We start from the raw sequence: 22472 nt of genomic DNA, 5'->3' as shown, positions 1-22472 counted from the left end.
AATAAAATCTTTTCTACTATTTTTTGCCTATTTAACCACAATAAATGGCCTAGAGGTCAGCCTGCTCAGCTGCCATGGTGTGGAATCTTACAACATTTCAGGAAGACAAAATGTCTTTCATTTTAAAATCCTTATTCACTGTGATTTTGATATGAAAGATGTTACCAAAGTGTTGGGAGAGATTTCTATTGGAAAAGCTGATTATACATCCAGATCCTCAAAAGTATGCTTTAAGAAATTTATGGTTAAGGGATTAACATCTTAGAGCATGTGATGAACAATTTTATGAGTCAACTTGGATTGGCTACCATACTCAGTTATTCAATTAAACACTAATCTTGGTGTTGCTGTATAGGTATTTTGTAAATGTGATTAACATATACAATCCTTGACTGTAAGTAAAGGAGATTAATCTTGATAATTTGGATGGGCCACATCCAATTAGTTGAAAAGTTTTAAAAGAACTGAAGTTTTCCTGTAAAAAAAAGAAATTCAATGTGTGTCCTACAGCCTCAGCTCCTGCCTGAGATTTTCCAGCCTGTCCTATTGAGGATTTGCCTAGCTAACCACCATGATAAGCCAATTACTTGAAATAAACACAGACACACACTCACTCACACACACTATATATGCACATGTGTGTTTGCAATTAGATTTTGTGTCTAAAATTGAAATACATTTATTTTCTTTTTGGTGAGAAATAATTGTACAATATAATTGTTTGTGTGTGTGTGTGTATGTGTGTGTGTGTGTGTGTGTCACACTGCTTCTGTTTCTCTGGTGGAACCCTAACCGATAGGGAGCACATATGGTATACATTGTCCAGCTCTTCTTCAAAGACACTTTTGCTGCTCTTCCTGAAGTCTGTAGCCTCTCCTTCTCATCATTATCTAGCACAGCATCCTGTTTATTTTCTTCCTAAAAGTCATGATAATCTGCAAATTAAAAAAAAATTAACTACTTACTGTCTTTCTACATAACTGAAATAAAATTTTCTGAGATAAAGCACCCTCTCTCCTTCACTGAAATATCCTCAGGATGTAACACAGTGCACGGATCATAGTAGGCACTCAGTTTGTTGAATGAGTGCAACATAGAAGGCTTCTTACATTGAATCTTCATAAAGCCTCTGTCATATGAGGCCTATTATCCCGTTTTATATACCTCAGGAAAATTAAATGATTTGTCTCAAATCACACAGCCGATAAATGAGGGATCTGGAATTTTAAACCAAATTGTCCTATTCCCAAATTCATTCTGTTTCCTTTATATTATATTGCTGATTTGGGCTTTTTATTGAACTTAAATCCTACAATGTATCAGACTCTCAAGCACTATGCAAAACACCAAAAAGAATCATACATAGTGTGATCAGAGATACCTATAAATAGCTTTATTACTCAGCCACTGGCATGCCCGTAGAAGAAGCAATTGTATGGGAGTTACTCCTGCTTGGGAGCATGGAAGGAGGTATCAGGAGAAGGAAGCCATTCAGGTGGGCCTTGAGTTCATGAGCTGACATTGTGAAAATCAGTTTAGACCCAAGACAATACTGGCAAAGACATAAGCATTTGCGGGTTAAGACTGTTTGAGGAATGGTGAAATTGAATCATTTTAGAGTGTGAGATATGTGAGTGGGAGAGGATAGATAGGTATCTATACTGGCTATGAAATGGACTTAAAGTCTAGACTTAATCGACGTAATCCTATGTATAGTTGTGGTAGCTGTGGCAGGCCACACAACATGTTTGTTTCATACTGTAAATGTAAAATGTCACTTAAAGATCATTAGCAAGGTTGATCTTTGAAGGTGAAGAAATTTTTTTTTGAGACAGAGTCTTGCTCTGTGGCCCAGGCTGGAGTGCAGTGGTGCGATCTCGGCTCACTGCAAGCTCCGCCTCCCGGGTTCATGCCATTCTCCTGCCTCAGCCTCCTGAGTAGCTGGGACTACGGGCACCCACCACCACACCAGGCTAATGTTTTGTATTTTTAGTAGAGACACGGTTTCACCATGTTAGCCAGGATGGTCTGGATCTCCTGACCTTGTGATCTGCCCACGTCAGCCTCCCAAAGTGCTGGGATTACAGGTGTGAGCCACCGCGCCCGGCCAAAGGTGAAGAAATTAATAACCATTTGGAGCAGAAGATAACTCTCATGGGGATCTTTTAGTATGTTATTCCAGTCCTCCAAGAAACAGATACTGAGATGGGATTAAATATGCAGAAATTGCATTAGAGAACACAACTGTAAGAGAAAATGGGGACAGAGCTGGGAAATTTGAAAAAAAAAAAAAATGCAGGTCTGATCCCTGGCAAAGGAGAAATTGAGAAGACATGTTCTAAACTGCCAGATCATCTACAGAATGTTCAGCCAGGGCGTCAGAAATCCTTGAGTGAATGCTAACCATCAGAAGAATTTTGAATCTTCCAGGAAGACCTGCTTTTGCCTTCCTGGCCTGGTCAGTAAGTAACTGGTCTTGGCTTGTGGGAGGCATCGCAAAGCAGTGTCTGTTCTCTTGGCCGATAGTGCTACATGTTGTTGAAGGTCTGTGAGACACAGTCTTTACTTACACACTTCACATGGCTTGTGCCCTTGCAGAATTAAAGCACCTTTCTGCCTTAATTAAAGCTTTACATTGCAGTCTTCTTGAACATTGTTATTCACTTTTGGAAGTGGTAGGTGACTTTTCATGCAATTATTCTTCAACAAAAAAACTAATAAATTGATTTCACAATTACAAACAAAGTTCTCTAATGGTGAAAAGCTGAGCATGAGTTTCCATTTAATTGCCTATACCTGAAGATATATCCCTTCCCTTATGAAAGGAAGACAAGAGCTGGCACATGGCAGCCTATGGAATGGGAAAGGAGAGATCTCGTTAAGAGAGTGAGTGCTTACTCAGAATCGTGATCTCATCGAATTAAATCTTTTCATACTAGTCATTATTTTTGTGCCCATTTTACTAAGTAGAAAACTGAGGCTCAGCTAACCTCATATAACTAAAATGGGTCAAAGTCAATAATGGTTGTGTTCCCTCTTCTGTCCTATGCTGCTTTTAGATCCTTAATGTAAAGGGTGAGTGTGTCACTTAAGGGAAGGGGTGGAAGAAAGAGACTAATGGTTCACAAGACAGAATATCTCTTCTTTCCTAGGTCAGTGCTGCTCCCTTTAACTAGGAGGGCAGTTTTGGAAGTCTGAACACAGCACCAGTGGGGAACGAATAGAAACTGAGTGAGCAGCACATAGGAGGTAACATGATTAAGAGGCTGCCCCAACAGCTATTGATCCAGCCTTGAGGAGACAGACTACCTCTTTCTCCTCCCCTCCAGATTGATGTAAATGGATTGAAAAATCTGAAGCTGCCTTTCAGATATGTTTTCCCAGGTATCACCCCTGTGAATCTTCCATCTTCTGAGGTTCATTAATGACTTATTACATTGGCTCATATCAATACAATATGACCTTCACACTTGTCTTTCATTCACTCGACAAATTCTTGCTGCTTACCAACTTATGTTCCATGTGCTATGCTAAGGGCTTGGACAAAGCAGTCAGTAAGTCAGCCTTGGTTCCTGTCTTTGTAGAGGCTATCCTCAAGTCACTATAGCAATTGCACTTGCCAAAACTGGCTTGTGACTTTTTGTGCATTTATTTTACATTTTTGTGTAACTATGTTACATTTTGCAGTATGCATTTTTGGAGAATATTAACAAGATTCCCTATTTTATTTTTGCATTCCACCCTTCCTCCATTCTTACACACACACACACACATAAACACACACAGTCCTAAAACTTATTCTCCAAACAGCTATGAAATTTGTCTTTCTCACTGTATCTGATAGTGACCATAAACTCCAGACTCCATAGTGTAACCTACAAAGTCCTTCTCTATGTGACTGTGGCCTGACTTTCTAGATTCATCTCTGGCCATTCCTCCTTCCACCTTATACTCTATGTCACACAAAGACACTCTAGATTCTTGCCAATTCTCTTTACACAGAATGCCTTGCTTACCTTTTTCATTAGGGAAACCCTTACTGACCCAATTCAAATTTCCCTTTGTCTAAGAAGCCTTCACCCTGTCCTCCAGGAAACAGGTCTTCTCTTCCATGATTTACATGTGTTATAGCAAATGCTGCATTGTATTGCAATAGTTTGCCTAACTACATTTCACCTTTTGTTTCTTGAGTTCCTGTAAGAGACCAGATATCTTTTTGTTTTTGAACTTTCAGTGCCTAGCAAAGTTCCTGAACCCTGGTAGGGAATGAATAAATAGCTAAATTGATTTCATTTGAAGTAAGACTGTGGTTAAGAAAACTTGATTTTGTTTGCATGTGATGAGCATTAACCCCATGCAGAAATGTTATTTCACTAAATAAGGGTACCAGGTTCACATTTTTTGATGACTAAGCATTTAGATGAAAATCTAGTCAGGATAAGTCACCTTAGGATAATTTCAAATAGGCAATTCTCAACATTTTGTTAATTCTGGGGTCAATGACTGGACAATTAAAAAATAAAATATGATGAGTGACAGTGCTTAACATTTTAGCATTTCAAATGCCATATGTAATTTACCTCAAATCCAGGGCTTGGACAAAAGTTGCAGTAGAGCTAAATGAAAGCCCCCACACTCTTTTAAAATAGCTGAATGTAGCCCACTCCTGAGGCTGTTTATTTTTACATGATATACAATGAAAACACTATAATTAAGAATGGGTAAACCCAGCTGTGCTTTGGGTTGATCAAATTTCTTAAAGTTGCTTTTTGACTGTTTGGAGTCTGTGAAGACGAAAGTCTATGTTTAAGAATTTTCCCTCAATTTTTAAATCAGTGTTTATTTTAAAAGAAGTATAATCCATATGGTTTTGATTCCTCCACACTTAACTCATCCAAGTGCAGTTTTGTAAGAACTATTTGAAGTCAAAAGCTTTTTAAAATTTTTATGAGCTTTTTTGTCTTTTGCCCCCTCAGAAAAGGAAGCAATACTTGCCAAGTGTAAACAAAGTTAATCACCAAACAGTTTTATATTCTAAAATAATGAAACCACACTGGGTGCTGAATTTGACAAAACAGTTCTTTTATCCTCAGGGAAATTGTTGTCTAAGCTCGTAGAGTGACTGCCTTCTCTGAAGAAGAGCCCCAGGTGACATCAGCATTGTATTATTAGATTCTCAGATCCTCACAGTAAAGTAGTTGTTGTTTTCCAGCTAGAGTTTACTCACAATATCTTTATTTTGTCACAGAAGTCACCCAAGTACAATATTAAATGTCATGACTACCGAGAAAAGTTAGTGATAGCGTATCTAAATGTTGATGCAATGCTGTATCTATGAATGAGCATCTCAGGGCTGTCAGACCTTAGCAGGAAATCAAAGAGGATAAAAAACACATGACCCCATGGAAGCTCTCAAAGTCACATCTAGAAGAGCCCTCAGCAAACTACAGCTCACAGACTAGAAACAGCCTGCCAACTGTGTTTGGAAATAAAGTTTTATGAAATACAGCCACACCCCTACATATCACTCACAGCTGCTCTTGTGCTACAGTAGCAAAGTGGAATAGTTGTAATAGAAACCACATGGTGAGTAAAGCCTAAAATATTTACTACCTGGCTCTTTACAGAAAACCATTGCTGACTCCTGACGGAGGTGATACGTGGCTGAGAACTTAGATTTGCAGCTCTGGAAATAACAGAAAACTTCTCTGAATGTCATAGTCTCACTTTAGATCAAGGATTAAAAGAAAATTTAAATAATATATACACTTAGTGATTTTTGTAAAACGCTTTATTAGAAAATAAACATAGACCATTATAAATATATGCTATTTTGTGCACAAGTGAGAAACAAACATTTGCTGAAAATTTCCCAACTTCTAAGATCTCTATGATCAAACATTTTGAGGATTTTAAAAATACATACAATTCTCATAGCACTGAAGTATTCACGGTGGAGATCTCTTTGGCAAGGTAATTATTGTTTTCCTCTATTATCAATATAACAGAAAAATAGTAATCAGATTTCATAAACCTTACTTTGTGCTAGATACCTTTGCTGGGCTTTTTGTATGTGTATGTCTTCTTATATTTAATTTTGACAAAAGCACTAATATGCTTTTTAAGCTCCAGGGATCTTAGCTTCCTCTTTTGTAAAATGGGGATAATAATATTACTTGCCTCATAGGGCTATTTTAAGAATTAAAGAAATTAATGCATATAAGGTACTAAGGATAAGGCCTGTGCCATCTGCCAAACCCCAAATGGAACCGCTAGAAACCAGCTGAGCTAGCAGAACCTAACTTATTAAACATACTGTGGTCAAGGTCAATACCATTCTAGTAGGATAGGAGAATCTCAGAATGGGAAATGTCAGAAAAAAAAATATATAGAAAATGACAGAAAAATATATAGAAAATTTTCTATATAGAAAATATATAGAAAATTTTCTATATAGAAAATATATAGAAAATGTCAGAAAAAAATATGTCAGGAAAAAAATGGGAAATCTCAGAAAAAAATATATAATATGCACACACATATATATAGTTTTGGCTGATGGTTCTATTAGGAATCTTAAAAAGCAGGAGACTAATTAGGATTGGGCAGCTGATGACTTGAGAGTTATGGATTGGTAGACACAGTAAGGCAAGGACATTGGTACAAGTATTAATGAATAAGTAAGTAGTTGGTCTTATAAAACAAGTTATTTTAGTTCATTTATCTTCCAGGGACAATTATTTTCTGCCCCATGTTTATGTATTTCTTACCAGGTCCCCAGAATCTTTTAACACAAAAACAGAAAAGTATGTTGGTTTCAGTTCTCACGTCAGATGTACTAAGTTCAAATATGTATTAGCAATTATCATTGTCATTTTTATCATCATTTTTTTACAGATGAGGTAGCTGAGACCTTGAACGATTGGGAAACATGCCCAAGGTCATATAGTTTAGATACTGTAACTGCTAGCATCTTGTTCATATCTCAGAACCTTCATGTTAGTGTGGAATTAACAAAGTCTGTACTATAAGCATCTACTTGCTCAAATGAATCTTATTCAGAAAAATGAGAAAAACTGCATACAGGAGAAATGTACTCTTGTTAACTATAATGTGTCTTTTCTCTTGGAAGCAGTTAGGTATGATGGAACTGAAGTGGCATAGGAATGGTATGGGTAGCAGTGAAAGAGTGATGGACGAGTGCTGTGGCTATCTCATCAACTCTACCACCATCCTCCCCCTTCCAAAAAAACACACAAAAAATATATCAACCAGGCAAAGTTTCGTTTATCAGACCTACTGCAGTACAGTACAGGACAACATTACCTGTATGGTTAGTTCTGTCTTTGAAGGAGAAGGTCAGATCCAAATATCTATCAGGTTTGAGATCTGGTTATAATTGATTTAAGGTAGGTCTTTCAGGATAGAAAATTGATGGGTATTGGACAAGGTTTGTGGCATACAGTTGGTAGACACAGTGAGGCAAGGGTCTTCAAGTAGTTCTGGTAAGTAAAATGTTTGATAAGTGAGCTATTTGCTAGGTGAGCAATCTATTGTCCTGATAGGAGATCTTTTGTTTAAATTTGCAAACTATTTGCCCAAATTGGTTTGACATATTTCATGAAACTAATAGTAAAATTATTCATTGGCCATATTCATATCTGCCTTGGTGAGAATTCTCCTGGACCAAACATGTAAGTCATGCTGACACAAGGAAGCTTAGTTCTGAGTCCTAATAATTAAGATATATGGATGTAGGTGGTTTCAGTTCTCAAAGCAGACAAAGTGATGGATTATAGTTGTGCTGATTCTCATTCCCAAGGTTATTTATTTTTAAAAGCCCTTTTGGTACACCAGTCCTCTAATCAGGCAAATTATCTGCATACTAAAAAACATAAAATATAATTAGGCTAAACAATGTTATTTAGGCCAACAATTGTCTTATTATTGTTTAACTTTATCCGCAACATTGTTAATTTATGACAACTTTGTTAACACCTCTACCTTACAAAATGCAAGTGTTTATTCCCCTAATCAACAAAAATTTACTATTTTATAATTTTGTGTCAACTGGGCTAAATCACTTTCCAAAGCAAAATACTCCCTAGTCTTTTCATTTAAATATATCTATGTCCTTTACTTATATAGTTGTCCCTCCAATATCTGCAGGTGATTGGTTCAAGGACTGCCACAGATACCAAACTCTGCAGTTGATCAAGTCTCCTACATTAAATGACATTCTATTTGCATATAACCTACTCACCTCCTCTCATATACTTTAAATCATCTCTAGATTACTTATAATACAATGTAAATGCTATATAATAGTTGTTATACTGTATTTTATATATTTGTTATTTTCATTGTTGTATTGTTATTTTTTTTAATATTTTAAATCCATAATTGTTGAATCTGTGGATGTGGAACTCATGAATACAGAGGGCTGACTATATATATATATATATATTTTAATTTTTCTATCTTTTCATAGTAAAAGTAAGGAGGGATGACTATTTTTTCATGGTGCAGCTGATCTACTTCTTAGGGTTTTACTTATAGTTACTAAAGAAAAAAAAATAAAAACATTGAATTATGTAATTTTACCTGAGCAAGCAGATAATCAAAGCCCTGAGACTAACAGCCATAAGACTCCGCTGAGTTACATGGCAAGAAAGAAAAAATAACAATGCAAGCATTTTAGGCAACAGCTAAATAAATATCATAAGGAAGTGAGGAACGAAGAGGGGAAGAAGACAAGTAAAATTTTAAAAATAATTTAATCGATACTACAGTAAGTGAATTATAGTTAATAATCATTTATTCATATTTTAAAATAGAAGAATTGTCATGTTCTCAACACAAAGATGGAGGTAATGGATATTTCAATTACCCTGATTTGATCATTACACATTGTTTACATGCATCAAAATATCACATGTACCACCAAAATGTGTACAATAATCTTATACTGATAAAAATACAGAAAAACATAACTTAAAAAGAAAATTCACTCTTTAAGCAGATGTGTTAAAATATGTTTAACAAAATTTTTTTTTTAATGTAAGCAAGAAGTCATGTGGAAAGTGAATATTACAACTCTTAAACATATTTATCCAGATGCATAAAATATGTATCCCAAATCAAGTTTGCTAAAATGCTGTAATAATGAAAAAATAAGAAACAAATAGAAAATGGAGCCTAGTGTGGTGGCTCTTGCCTGTAATCCCAGCACTTTTGGAGGTTGAAGCAGGCAGATCATCTGAGATTAGCATTTTGAGACCAGCCTGGCCAACATGGCAAAATCCCGTCTGTACTAAAACTTCAAAATTTAGCATGGTGGCAGTTGCCTGTAGTCCCAGCTACTTGGGAGGCTGAGGCAGGAGAATCGCTTCTTGAACCCAGCAGACGGAGTTTGCAGTGAGCCAAGATCATGCCATTGCACCCCACCTGGGTGACAGAGACTCTTTCTCAAAAAACAAACAAACAAACAAACAAACAGAAAACTTAGGAAATGATTGATAATCAAGATTGATTAGAAGTCTAGTAAAGAACATTATGCAAGAAGGCAGGGTATGTCAGGCATATGGGGATTATAAGCAAAATGCAAATAATATACTCCTTGCCCCCAAATGAAGTTATTTTATTGATTTTTGTCTTCCTTGATCAACAATGTTCTAAAGAGAAAAGTTTCAATTAAATGCACATTTCCTTTCAGTTGCCAAGTCTACAAAAGGAAACAAGTTGAAATGCAAATGAGTAGCACTTTCTTGGAAAAATATTAACAAGGAAGCTGTATGTTGTATGCTAGCAGTAGCCAGAGACATCTGACAAGCCACTTCCAATCATATATGTATAATATATATATAATACTTTATATTGTTATATGTTAATAATAAATCAGCCTGTCTATTTTTCCAACTTTATGTGTATGCACAGCACTTTATATTGAGCAGAGAGAAAGCAAGCCAGCAACTAGAAGCTGAAGCAAATCCTACCAACAGGGCAGCCAGAGTGGTGAGCTAACTGTTCCACATGTGGCAGATTCTTTCTTGAAGGGACATCTGAGCCAAGCCTGATCCACCGGCACTGAATCCCAAATAAAATATCAAACTATTGTCCTGATTTCACATCAAAGAAGGTGTTGCAATGAACGACATCACATACCACACAATCCAAAAGTAACTGGACTCAGAGAGCTCGAACTTCTTTCTAAAGACCCAGCTGAAGCACCAGCTCAGAGTGCTGGTGGAAATGGTTTGAAAGGATTGTGTTTATTCCCCTAATCAACAAAAATTTACTATTTTATAATTTTGTGTCAACTGGGCTAAATCACTTTCCAAAGCAAAATACTCCCTAGTCTTTTCATTTAAATATATCTATGTCCTTTACTTATATAGTTGTCCCTCCAATATCTGCAGGTGATTGGTTCATTTACTTGAGACTATACCAGCTTCAGGGAAGCCAGTGATGAAGGCTAATGAACATTAACTGGATAAGTCACTTCGTTAACTTAGTTGTTCAGTGCCATTTCTAGGTTGGATGTTTTCTAGTAGGAATTAACATATGGTACAAAACTCTTTGTATTTTATTTCCACTCCGTATGTCTATCCACTTCTGTCTCCCTCAAATCTCCTAGGCACCTATCTTTTAATCCTTTTTCTTATAAGCTCCTGATCAGATGGCCAGGTCATTGAACATTGCTCAGAAATCTCTATATATGGCCAGGTGTGATGGCTTAGCCTTTGGGAAGCTGAGGCGGGCAGATCACAAGGTCAGGAGATTGAGACCACCCTAGCTAAAACAGTGAAAACCCGTCTCTACTAAAAAAATAGCAAAAAATTAGCCGGGCATGGTGGCATGCGCCTGTAGTCCCAGTTACTTGGGAGGCTGAGGCAGGAGAATCGCTTGAACCTGGTAGGTGGAGGTTGCAGTGAGCTGAGATCGTGCCACTGCACTCCTGTGACAGTGTGTGACAGACTCCTGTGTGACAGAGTGAGTAAAAAAATAAAAAACAGAAAAGCAAGAGAAAAGCAAGAGAAAAGAAAAGAAAAGAGAAATCTCTATTCATTCTTACCTTGGGCCATTTATCCTTCATCAAAAAAGTGAATGACTAGATTCTGTGCTCACAGTTTTGCCCCTTGGGAAGATTTTCTCTGTCTACTCTGTTTTAAGGCATCCCTGATTGTAGCTGTAATGCAGATTCCATCTATTTTTGGTTTATACCCATATACCAAGGCAAACTATTTATAAACCAACCTCAGGGCTTTTCCTCACCCTTCAGATGATTTGTGGGATACCTCCACCCTGTCTTCAAATGGAAATAGGTCAGAGCTAGGAGAGGGACACGAGGACAAGTGTAGTAGGTGACACAGGGTTCTAGGCTACCTGCTTATGTAGGTAATACATGCTTTGCAGTTCAACTTGGGCTTGATCCTGGCTGTAGCACTTGCATGGGACAGTGGGGCATTGCGAGGCCAGTCTACCTTTATAAGCTGTTGGGTTTGGCAAAATCCAGCTGATATTGAAAAGTTCTAGATGTTTTGACACAGATAGAATGGTCAAGCATTCTATCTGTGTGAGAGCAGAGTAACATGCCAGAAGTTGTTTCTGAATAGGCATATATTTCTTTGTGTATTAGTTACCTATTGTAGCATAACAAATTAGCACAAATTCAGTGGCTTACAAGAATTCACATTTATTTTCTCACAGTTTCTGTGGGACAGGAGTTTGAACACAGCTTAGCTGGGTCCTTGATCATGTCAGCCAGGCTGTGCGCCTGTTTGGAGTCCAGAATCCTCTTCCAACTCCACAAGGTTGTTGGTGAAATTAAGTTTATTGCAGTTGTAACACTGAGATCCCTTGCTGGCTGTCAGCTAGGAACTACTCTCAGCTCCTAGAGGCTATACCCCCAGTTCCTGGCCACAAGGCCCTCTCATAACATGGCAGCTTACTTCTTCAGAGCCAGCAGGAGGGGCTTACTCCAGTTGGCTGAGACAGAGTCAATAAAATGTAACATGATCAAGAGGGTGACTATCTCATCACCTTCACAGTATAGCATAGCCTAACAAAGGGATAATTATGCTGTAATTTTACCAGAGTCTATTAGCTAAGAAGGAAATCCCAAGTTCTACCCACATTCATAAGATTGTACAAAGACATGACTCACTGGGGATTACCTCGGGGAATTCCAGCCACATTCTGCTTTGGATGGCATGGCCTTAGTCCAGGTTCTCAGAGACCTGTATTGTGATTTTCCCAGTGGTGCTTGTCAGGAACTTCACACTGCATCTTCTCCTACCACAGGTGTCTCTAATGCCATAGGATCTGTTAAGACATGCAGCACTGCTGGCACCACAGACTGGACATGCTATGAAGATCTTTCCTATTCTAGGTTTTACACAAATCAGGCAACCTTCAATGACTTCAGGCAAATGGGCCAGAGCAGAATTTTCAGGTGTATAATGTGTGGTCACCATACCCTACGAGGCCTATCAGGCACCATGCTATCTTTTTTGCTGTAAGAAATTCAAGATACAGCAATTTGCCGTTTATTTTCAAGGTAATATTCTAGCACAGCCACAACCACTAATCCCCTAAATACTGTATCGAAATGATAGGTTCAAGAATCTTCATAGGGTTTAACTCCTTTTCTCTGAAGCATATATTGTCTTACCAAGATTTTTAGCATGACAATCACTTCTTGTTCTTGCTGTCCAATCCATGTGATGTTATCAACATAATGGATCCATATGTTGTTCCTTGGATGTCTCAGTGGTCTAGAGTTCTTCAGATGACTATAGTATGTTGTGGGAGGCGAATGCAGTTAATATAGCCCTTGCTATGGTTTGAATATTTGTCCCCTTCAAACCTCGTGTTGAAATTTGATCTGCAATGTTGGAAATGAGGCCTTAATGGGAAGTTTCTGGATAACAGAGGAGCAAATCCCTCATGAATGTCTTAGTGACATTCTCATGGTAATTAGTGAGTTCTTGCTCTATTAGTTCCTGTGAAAGTTGGTTGTTAAAAAAAGCCTGGCACTACCCTCTCCTATCTTTTGCTTCCTTTCTCATCATGTGATCTCTGCACATGCAGTTTCCTGTTCACCTTCTGCCATGAGTTGAAGCAGCCTGAAGCCCTGACCAGAAGCAAATGATGGCACCATGCTTCTTGCACAGCCTGCAGGGCCATGAGCCAAATAAGCCTATTTTTTAGAATAAATTACTCAGCCTCAGGCATCCCTTCACAGCAACACAAATGGACTACGACAGGCCTGATGCAAAACTCTAAATGAACATTATTGCACATGAATGCAAACTGTTTGTAAATTTATTACTAATGGGAATACAAAATAATGCATTTGTCAAACCAAAATCTACATGCCATAGACCTGAGGCCTTATTAATCTGCTCTAGCAGTATTTCTACATTTCATGGAATAGCTACAATCAGTACAAGTAATTGGTTGAGCTTGCAGTGTTCATTATTCAGGATCCATCTTGTTTCTGCTGGGGCCAGGCTGGTCAATTAAGCAGAAATATCACAATGATCACCACTCCTTTCCCATTGATGGCACTTCTCTTTGCTGTTCTTCCCAAATGATTCAATGTAATATAGTTTTTAATTTGTTATCTTGGACATGTGGAGTCAATTTCAAGGATTTCTAATTGGCCGTTTCCACTATGATGATTCTTACCCTACCAGCCAAGAATTCCCTGTGGGGGTTACCCTAAATGCCCATTGTATGAATGCCAATCATATGCTTAGGGTCTTGGGAAATGATGACCCAGTAGTCCCGCTGTGATGTGGACTTTATTCAGAACTCCAATGATTCCCTGTCTTCTATATGCTTCTGATCTAACAGAAGGACCATGAGGCTGCTTTGGACCCCTGACTATCAATGTCAATTCAGATCATGGGTCTAACACTCCTTGTAATATCTTTTCCCAGTGTACAGTCACTTGAATAAGTAACTAAAAGTCTATTTGGGAAAGGACTGAGGAAATCACTACATTATTTGCTTCCTGCTGTGTTTAGGGGTCCTTCATGCTGGAGATCTAGCTATGCCTTCAATTAGTGGGTTCCAGATCAGAAAATCAGTTTAACAACTAAGCAAGGAATAATGACTTTTTATCTGGGAGATTGTTCTCAACCTCCTACTCCCCAATTCTTGACAGTTTCTGGTTGTAAACATTAATCAGAGGTCTATTTGGCTGTCTGTCTTTTCTTCCCTTGTGAATGCCATGCTTTAATTATCTCCATAAACTCCCTGGAGGTCACAGCCCCTTTACTGCCCCTCTGGTCTTGGTGGGGTCTAAATGGTAATTGTGGTTCCTTGGCTTCTGGTAGTTAAATGCTGCCACCTGGCTATTTATTTATTTATTATTTGTTCTTTTTGCAGTCCTATCATCTCCAGGATATTAGCAAGCCCAGCTCTGGTCTACAGATTAAACCTATTACTAAACTCATTAGTGATGCTAGTGCCACAAACACAGGTGTATTCCTGATGACCTTGGTACATGGTGTTCTCCGGCCCTCCTGTGAAATATTATCCTCTGCTGTGTCTTCTGGCCTTACACATCCATTCTGGCAGGCCCGCTTTCATCAGCCTCTTTATTCCTTCCTCTCCTCTCTGGCAGGGCAAATCAAGCGATTCCACTTGCTCAGTATTAATCATCACTCTCCATGGTTTCTATGGTCACCATAGCAGTAAGTTTGCCTCTTTCTCGGCTGTTCTTGACAGGGTTTTAAATCCCTTGTCTGCAGAGAGTGCCCTCAAGTCAATGAATTCTTGTCCTCCTTGATCAAGCACCCTTGAAATTCAAAGTTAATAAGTGAAAGCCCAAATGGCTTCATTTATGAATTTACTAAACGTTTATGGAAGAAATGATAAATGCTAATTCTGTACAAAATCTTCAAGACATTTGAAGAAGAAAAAAAATATTTCCTTACACATTCTATGAGGCCTGTATTACTCTGATAGGATACTTCTAAAATTTATATGGAAATGATAAAGATAAAAATAGTTAATAAAAACTTTGCAAGAGAGTAATAAGCTCAAAGGATTTATACTCTCTGACTTCAAGACATATCATAAATGGACTTTCATCAAGACAGCATGGGGTTTGCATACAGGTAAACATACAGGTTAATATAACAGAGCTAGAAATAGACCCAAGCATACATGCTCAATTAATTTTTGACCAAAATCTAAAAGCAATTAAGTGGAGAAAGTATAATCTTTTCACACAAATGATGCTGGAACAATTGGCAATCCATATGGAAAAAAAAGAAGATTGTTTATAGCTTGCAACTTATACAAAAATTAAGAGAAAATGGATCATAAGCCTAAGTATAAAATCTAAACCTATTAAATATTCTTAAGAATTTTTGTATATATAGTGCCAAATGCATAATTAATTTTAAAAGTTATAAATTGGACTTTATCAGCATTACAAAAATGACCGAATAACTTTTGTCTTATAAAAGTCACAGAGGAGACTCTCCTAAGTGGAAGAATACCAATATCACTCAGGTCCAGGATCCTGTCTTCTCTAGGAGAATGAAAAGAAAAGCCATAGGCTGGGAAAAAAATACTTGCACATCAAAGACGTGTATCCAGACTATAGAAAAAGCTTTCAAAATTCAATTATTAGGAAGCAAACAGCACAATTTGAAACAAAACAAAGCGGACCAAAGATTTAAATGAATGTTTCTCCAAAGAAGATGTATAGTAAGCAAATAAACAGAAGAGGAAAATAATAATGATGATAATAATTTAAAAATCAACAAATTTAGAAAATAAGAGCTATAAGTTAATTCTTGCCGAGTTAGGATCATCTAACTTTGCAATCTAAATTTAGACTTCGCTCTAACCTTTGGTCCAGAATTCATCAAACTGTGGGCTTCTGTCAAATTAAATATAACTATTAATATATCCTCCCTGCGATCCTCTTCTGCTGATTTTATTCATAGGTTTTATGTTTGTAGTAGCAAATAACAAAGTCAGGAATTATTTGGTTTAGCTAAGCATAGAGAATGATTTAATATTTGCTTTGGGAAGATAGAAATTTTATCTACTTGGTTTTGGAGTTGGTTTACAATGTTTCTTAGTTGTAAAACTGCAGCGGTCATTCCCATGGTGGGGGTAGAGGAGATAGGATGAAGTTGAGTGCTTCTTGAATAACCAGTTGAGGGGGAACCAAGGAATTTTTATGTTGCACTCTTATCCCAAGTAAAAGATGGTCTGATTAACCATTGGACCCATCTGATTTCTTTTAGAAATATCATGCATCTCAGGGATTAAAGGGGAGGTTCCAAGAGCCAGGGGTCAGGTCCAGAGAAAAATAAGTTCTGGAGTGAACTGAGAACTCCATGAGAAAAAGCAGAAAAGCCAGATGGCATCCACATGAGTCGAAGTCTTAATACCTTGATTAGGCATTTAGCGCCAACAGAGGAAAGGGGCAAACAGTTTATGTATTCATACAAAGCCTTTTCTATGTTTGGCATTAGAAGATGGGGGATACAATTGTGACAAGACAAGACAATGGTCTGTGATTTCACAAGTTTACAATTTGCAGTCAGCATTTGAGATCATGAATATAAGGCTTTTATTTTTAGTATCTTTCTTACTTAAAATCAGGTTGGGTGGCTAGAACTTAAACTCACAGAAGCTAGTCTTAACATCAGGCCACATCCTGAAAACCACAAATGATTCATATACATTGAGGAATCATCCATGTTTCCAGAGAAAAGAATATTGTCCTAGATTAATAAGGCCCAAGTCTCTTCCAAAGTTTCTCTCCTGGCCAAAGAGAAGATCCAGGTCTTTAGTAACCTCGGGAACAAGTCAGAAGTACCTCTTTAGGGTGAGCAGACTAATTCACCCACAAACCCTTTAATTGTCTTTTAGCAGGCTTGTATGCCAAAATATTTTAAACAAAGCCTGTGTACTGTGTGTTTCAAATTGTTAAAACTTCTTGTATATCTCTTTGGATAGAAAAATCATGAGATAAAGAGATATTCAGATGTTTCCATGGCTTCAGGAATTTTCTTCTCATCTCCTTTCACTCTATACAATAATTTGGATATACATCCATTTTATTTGATTGATATTAATATTAATTATTATTTTATTTAAATTACTCAATGGACCCCAGGATTCAAACATTTATTTCCTTTAACATATTTGTAGCCAGTGATTACTGCTGTAATCCACTTGGAACAAGGTTTCTGGAGTTTGATACATTTTGATACAGCATTAAAAACAAAAGTTATCTTTCAGCCAAATACTTTTGTAGTAATAAATGTAATATTCTGGAGCAAAATATTATACTGCAAAAATTAATAATTTACTGAGCACTTACTATGTGCAAAGCAACGTCAGTGCTTACAAAATTCATTTCGATCTTTATAACAACCTCATAAAGAAGCTATTTTTGATACTTTAAACAGGTTAGAAAATTGAAACTTACAAGAGTTAAGTAAACTGTACAAAGCCCCACACTCAATATGAATCCAAAGTCCTTTGCCTTAACCTCTTCCCTCTACCCCTCACCATATGTGAAATTCCCTTGTTTTCAAGGGGCTAACATTCCAAATAGATGTTATTATTTTACTTTTTCCTTGCTATCCCCATTCACAGTTTGGCCTAAGACTTGGGTCTTCTCTAGCTTTGATTGCATGCAAAATTGGCCAAAGAATAATATGTATAAGGGAAAAAGAGTCTGGTGAAATTCTACTGACTTTATTGAGCATCTTACTTCTTTAATGGAGGAAGTATATTTCATATTTCAAAGGGAGGGTGTGTTCCCTGTGAATAGTCTTTTGTCACACAGTGTTCCAAGGCCACAGTCAAATTAGGAAAACCAATATAATTGCACACATTTCCAACTAAAGTGTATTAGTCAGACTAGTTCTATTTTAGAAGAGCCAGTTTTGGGGCAGGGTGAAAAACAAGAGGAGTGGCTGGCTGTACCCATTAAATTGTTCAATATGAGATATGGAAAGCAAAGGTGCAAAGTCAAACTCATAAAATAAAGTGGAATGGGGCTATATCTTCCACATTTTGTATTTTTCATAACCACCACATATGATAGCTACCTGCTTACTACAAAATTAATTGTTCATTTTTATTCTAGAGCATCTGCAGCTTTTATTTTTTTCTCTCTCAGAAAATGAGTGTCATCTTCTACATATTTAGAGTCATAGATCCAGTTAATATTTCTGATATGTAAGTGTTAGAGTATTTAGCTCAGTGTTTGGCATATAATACTAAAGACCTAAACAAATATATGATTATATAAGTAAATTTATTTCATGATTTGAGACCAAATGGTAAAACCATCATTTTGTTAGAAAGCAAGTCAGGCCCCTAAAATAACATTATACATCCAGAAGTATTTTTTGAATGTGCATTTGAAAAGAAAAAACACATACTTGAGATTCCCTTCTTGAAAATCTTTAAGAAATTTTGATTCAATGTGTTTTCAAATGTTATGATGAGATTACTTTAGATTTATACTTAAGATAAAATGTATAGGTAGGAATTTTGATGAGATATTCTCCTTGTCATGTACTGTACTTACTGATTGGAATGCTTGCTCTAGTAACAATTGAAAAAACATTTTTTTCATGCCGCACAAAATTATTTATTATTATGGAGAAGCAGGAAGCCAGCTAGTAATATGGATGAGAAAACTTTACCTTATTAGGCAACAGAGTAGCTTTCGTGAAGATCAACATCCTCACATCCTGATAAACTAATCTCTCTTAGCAGGAAGTAAAAGGAAACTGGAAAGAGGATGCTGTCTTTATCTTCCACAAGCGTAATGTTATTTTTGTGATAGCAGGAGATAGAAGGGAGCCAGGGTGAGAAAAGGGAACCTAATTCTGCACTATGATTAGCTGAATGTGAGCTTCTTGACGTAAGACATCAAAGAGTATATGTATTTTATTCCTCATAATTCATTTGCAGAAGTTAGAAGTTGTGCATGTGTTTGCAAAAGTTAAATGTGTACATGCGTGTGTGTTTGTGTATGTGTTAGAAACCTTTCTTAATACTGGCAATTAGGTTTTTCTCATTAGAAAAAATAAATAGAAACATAGATTTTACATAAAAACAATATCACAGCTATGAAAAGAAAAGAAATATAATGACAAGCTTTATTTCAAGAAAATATAAAGATGCAAGAAACTTTTTTGTCAAAATAAGATAAAACTGGAAGATAATAAGATAAAGGATAAAAAGATAATAATAGAGGAAGAGTGAGAAAAGCAAAAAATTGTGAGAAGTTTATTACAAAATGGGTATTGATGGTTTCTTTAATTTCATACTTTTGGAGTTATTTTGTATTTTGCTGAAAGGTTTAGCTGTTTGAACAAATTATTGCCATGACTCTTATCAGTCAGACGTCTTTAGGGCAGTCATGGAGGTATTTGGCTCAGATCTACCTTCAAGAGAAAACCTGTCAAAAGGAAGACAAATTAGATAACAGCCTCCAGGTGCAAGTATGCCTCAAATTTGAACCAAGACCTTATGATACCCAGACATTTTTCAGCCAATGAGTATGGCAGGGGTACAACAGAACCTCAATTTTCAGGCACAGGACTCCTCAAAGAGCAGTCCTCCTAAAGGAGATCCCCATCATGTTGGCTGGGATTTTGTCAGAGCTGCAGTGCTGTGTGAGGCTCATCCTATCCAATCTTCTGGCTTCCTTCTCACCTTTCATAGGAGCCAGGCCTTTACTACAGTGTGAAAGCTTCCTTTGGATGTTCCTGCCTTCTTTGCCTTTACATGTTTAAAAGGTATTATTCTCCAATAATTTTTTTTTTGCACTTCTAACTCAATCTTGGCTTTCCCTTTCTAGAAAAACCAAGTGACATTAATTGATACTGGACACAATCTGTGATATCAGTGATTAAGTTGGAGTTATGCAAGTGGATCATTTGCCACCAACCAGAAAATAAGGATTCCTTTCAAGTGGATGTGGGATATGAATATTTTTTGGCACAAGACAGTAGTTCAATTGGTAAAAATTTCATCAATGGTGACTTTGGAGAATGTCATGTTGCAGGTGAATGTCCTAACCAGGACAATATTCATGCATTTGAAAAATCCAGCGTGAGAAACATAGAAAGGTAATGAAATTGACTAATTATTACTAAGTTGCATTTGTGGGACAATGAAAATTGAATACGTTGCATTTGTGGGATGATGAAAAATTGAGCATTGTTAACAAAAGCCCAAATGTAAGTGTAAAAGCCAGAAGGCATCTTGGGCAGCCTATAAAGTGTTTTTATCTTTTGCAAAGAGAGAGAGTGGCCATAGCTGGAGAGGAAATTCAGGATCTGCTGTTTAGGGCCACTGAGCTGCAAAGATGATTGGATGCTCATAGAGGAATTTTCTTAGGCTAAGGTCAGAGATCTGCTTGGGAAAACTTGAGGCATTAAAATATTGGAAGAGGACATCTGGGTAAATTTCCCCAAGGATCTACAACTTGAGAGCCTAAAGAATTGACCCACCATTCTCTATGAAGAGCTAGACATTTTCTCATGCAAGAAGATACTTCAGAGGCCACTTTCACATAAGATAAATGGTATGTTTATCAGGAATTACTCCCACTTTTTCTCTAGGCTTCTAGGCTAAAAATCATGGCTAAATTCCAGCATAACCCAGCTGAGGGATAAAAACATACTGGGACTGATAAGTAAGAAAAGAGATAATCATTTCATTAAGTTCAATAATTAGCTAGTATGTGCTTTCAGGATTCAGAATAGTATCCATGAGATTGGATGTTTGAGTATGCCGTGGTTTGAATGTATCCTTCAAAATTCATATGTTGGAAACTTAAGTCCCAGTGCAACAGTGTTGAGAGGTGAGAACTTTAAAAAGTAGTTAGATCATGAGGGCTGTGAACCCTGAAAGAGCCAATCCTTTAAGATGGAACCTGAGTGGCTAACTGGGCCTAAATTCAAACGGGAGCTGAGTTCCATTTGCTGACCAGACATTACACATGCACTCTTCATTCTTGGAAAAACCACATATTGGTATAACTGTGAGATTCTCATATCTGCCTATTTCTGTTTATACTCCTGAGCCAATGGTTACCATCACTTTGATCTAACCAATAGCCTGTGACCCACAGTGAAACTTAACCTCAACCAGCTGAAACTAAGCAAGCTTGCATCCCTCATTTGCACAGCATAGCATAGTGGGAACCTCAGCAGGAACTTTTTCTATAAAGGACAACCCCTGTCTTTGTTCTGGTAGAACACATCTTTGTTTTGTATTGAAGGCTGTGTATCCCCCGTTCACAAACCGCTTGTGGAAATAAAGCCTCTTTAAATCTGATACTTCTTTTTCAGTAGTCTTGTTAACAAGACTCTGTCCTCATTAATGCATTAGTACCATTATTGCAGGAATGAGTTTCTGATAAAAAGATGAATTTTACTTCCTTCCCTCTGTTTTGCATGTGCTCTCTTGCCCTTCTGCCTTCTCCATGGGATGACACAGGAAGAAGACCATCACCAGAGGTAAGCCCTCGATCTTGAACTTCCTAGCCTCCAAAAATGTATGAAATATGTTTCCTGTAAATTACCCAGTCTCAGTTATTCTGTTATAACAGCACAAAATAGACTAAAACAGAGTACTTGCTCACCAGGGCTAGCACTTATGAGTAGAAATGCTAAAGTTTTCTGTTTATTTTTTTTCTTTTTAAACTTGGGGGACTTCTCTTGAAAGACGGGATTTAATGCCCTGACAAAGACCATAGAGCATGGGAAAGATTGGATGCTAGAGTAGGCCTCAGAAACCTGGAGAAAGACTTGGTGAGTTGAAATGTCTGAACTACTAGAGAAGGTAGCAGAGGCATAAAAGGAGTAAAAGAAGGAGGAGTAAAAGGCTCAGGAGGGTGAGTATACAATTTGTGATGCCAGGAAACCCAGCAGAGGAATATACTCCATGAAAGCCCAGTGGATGCATAGTCCACAAAAGGTATAAGGAAAGTGCTGGTGAGACAGATACCAGATACACTAATATTTTCTGTCATGGCTCTTTTCTGAAAGGCTGACAGTAGGAGAGATTGTCACATAGCTTAACTTGTTAATAGCAATGGAGATGATAGAGACCTGAAGACATTGAGCATAGATGGCAGTGCTTACCTGCTGGAAATTAGGAGGTTGCAATGACCATATATGGGTGGCATGAGTGGAGGGCACTGAAGAGTGTTTCATATCTAGAGAGTTTTATTCTTTTCTATGCCATCAGCAAAAAATATTTTTTTAAAGTTTTCATTCACATGGAATCTTCAACTATAAATTTACATTTTTGTCTCTTAGCTATGTTAAGTCTCCTGCCGTCTGTCATACTCCAAAGAGATCAAAACTATGAGGACATCCCTCAGAACATAGCCTTGCTCCATTGCACTCAAACTGATCCAGGAAGAAATAGGTAGTAAGCTCAAAGCCTTGGTAGAC

General features: G+C 37.2%; 1 long non-coding RNA gene across 1 annotated transcript in view, besides 2 other annotated features; it reads left to right on the top strand.

The window, feature by feature from the left end:
- Positions 1-22472, top strand: part of LOC105369896 (uncharacterized) — a 361170-nt gene that overhangs the window by 218151 nt on the left and 120547 nt on the right. Inside the window, exons 3-4 of the long non-coding RNA XR_001749251.2 lie at positions 19865-20135; positions 20407-21530. This is a non-coding gene — a long non-coding RNA (uncharacterized LOC105369896). The remainder of the gene's footprint in view (positions 1-19864; positions 20136-20406; positions 21531-22472) is intronic.
- Positions 11828-13027: an enhancer, noted in NCBI's record as "P300/CBP strongly-dependent group 1 enhancer chr12:91799994-91801193 (GRCh37/hg19 assembly coordinates)". NCBI's record gives its function as "activates an origin of replication core promoter dependent on BRD2, BRD4, P300/CBP, MED14 and CDK7 cofactors, with strong dependence on P300/CBP, by STARR-seq in HCT116 cells {active_cell/tissue: HCT116}" and the evidence as "EXISTENCE:reporter gene assay evidence [ECO:0000049][PMID:35650434]".
- Positions 12040-12359: an enhancer, noted in NCBI's record as "active region_6717". NCBI's record gives its function as "activates an Ori minimal core promoter by ATAC-STARR-seq in GM12878 lymphoblastoid cells {active_cell/tissue: GM12878}" and the evidence as "EXISTENCE:reporter gene assay evidence [ECO:0000049][PMID:35858748]".

The sequence above is a fragment of the Homo sapiens genome, chromosome 12 (assembly GCF_000001405.40).
Source record: "Homo sapiens chromosome 12, GRCh38.p14 Primary Assembly".
In the NCBI taxonomy this organism is placed as follows: domain Eukaryota; kingdom Metazoa; phylum Chordata; class Mammalia; order Primates; family Hominidae; genus Homo; species Homo sapiens.
The sequence above is the reverse complement of the archived record's forward strand: the minus strand, read 5'-3'. Positions and strand labels throughout refer to the sequence as shown.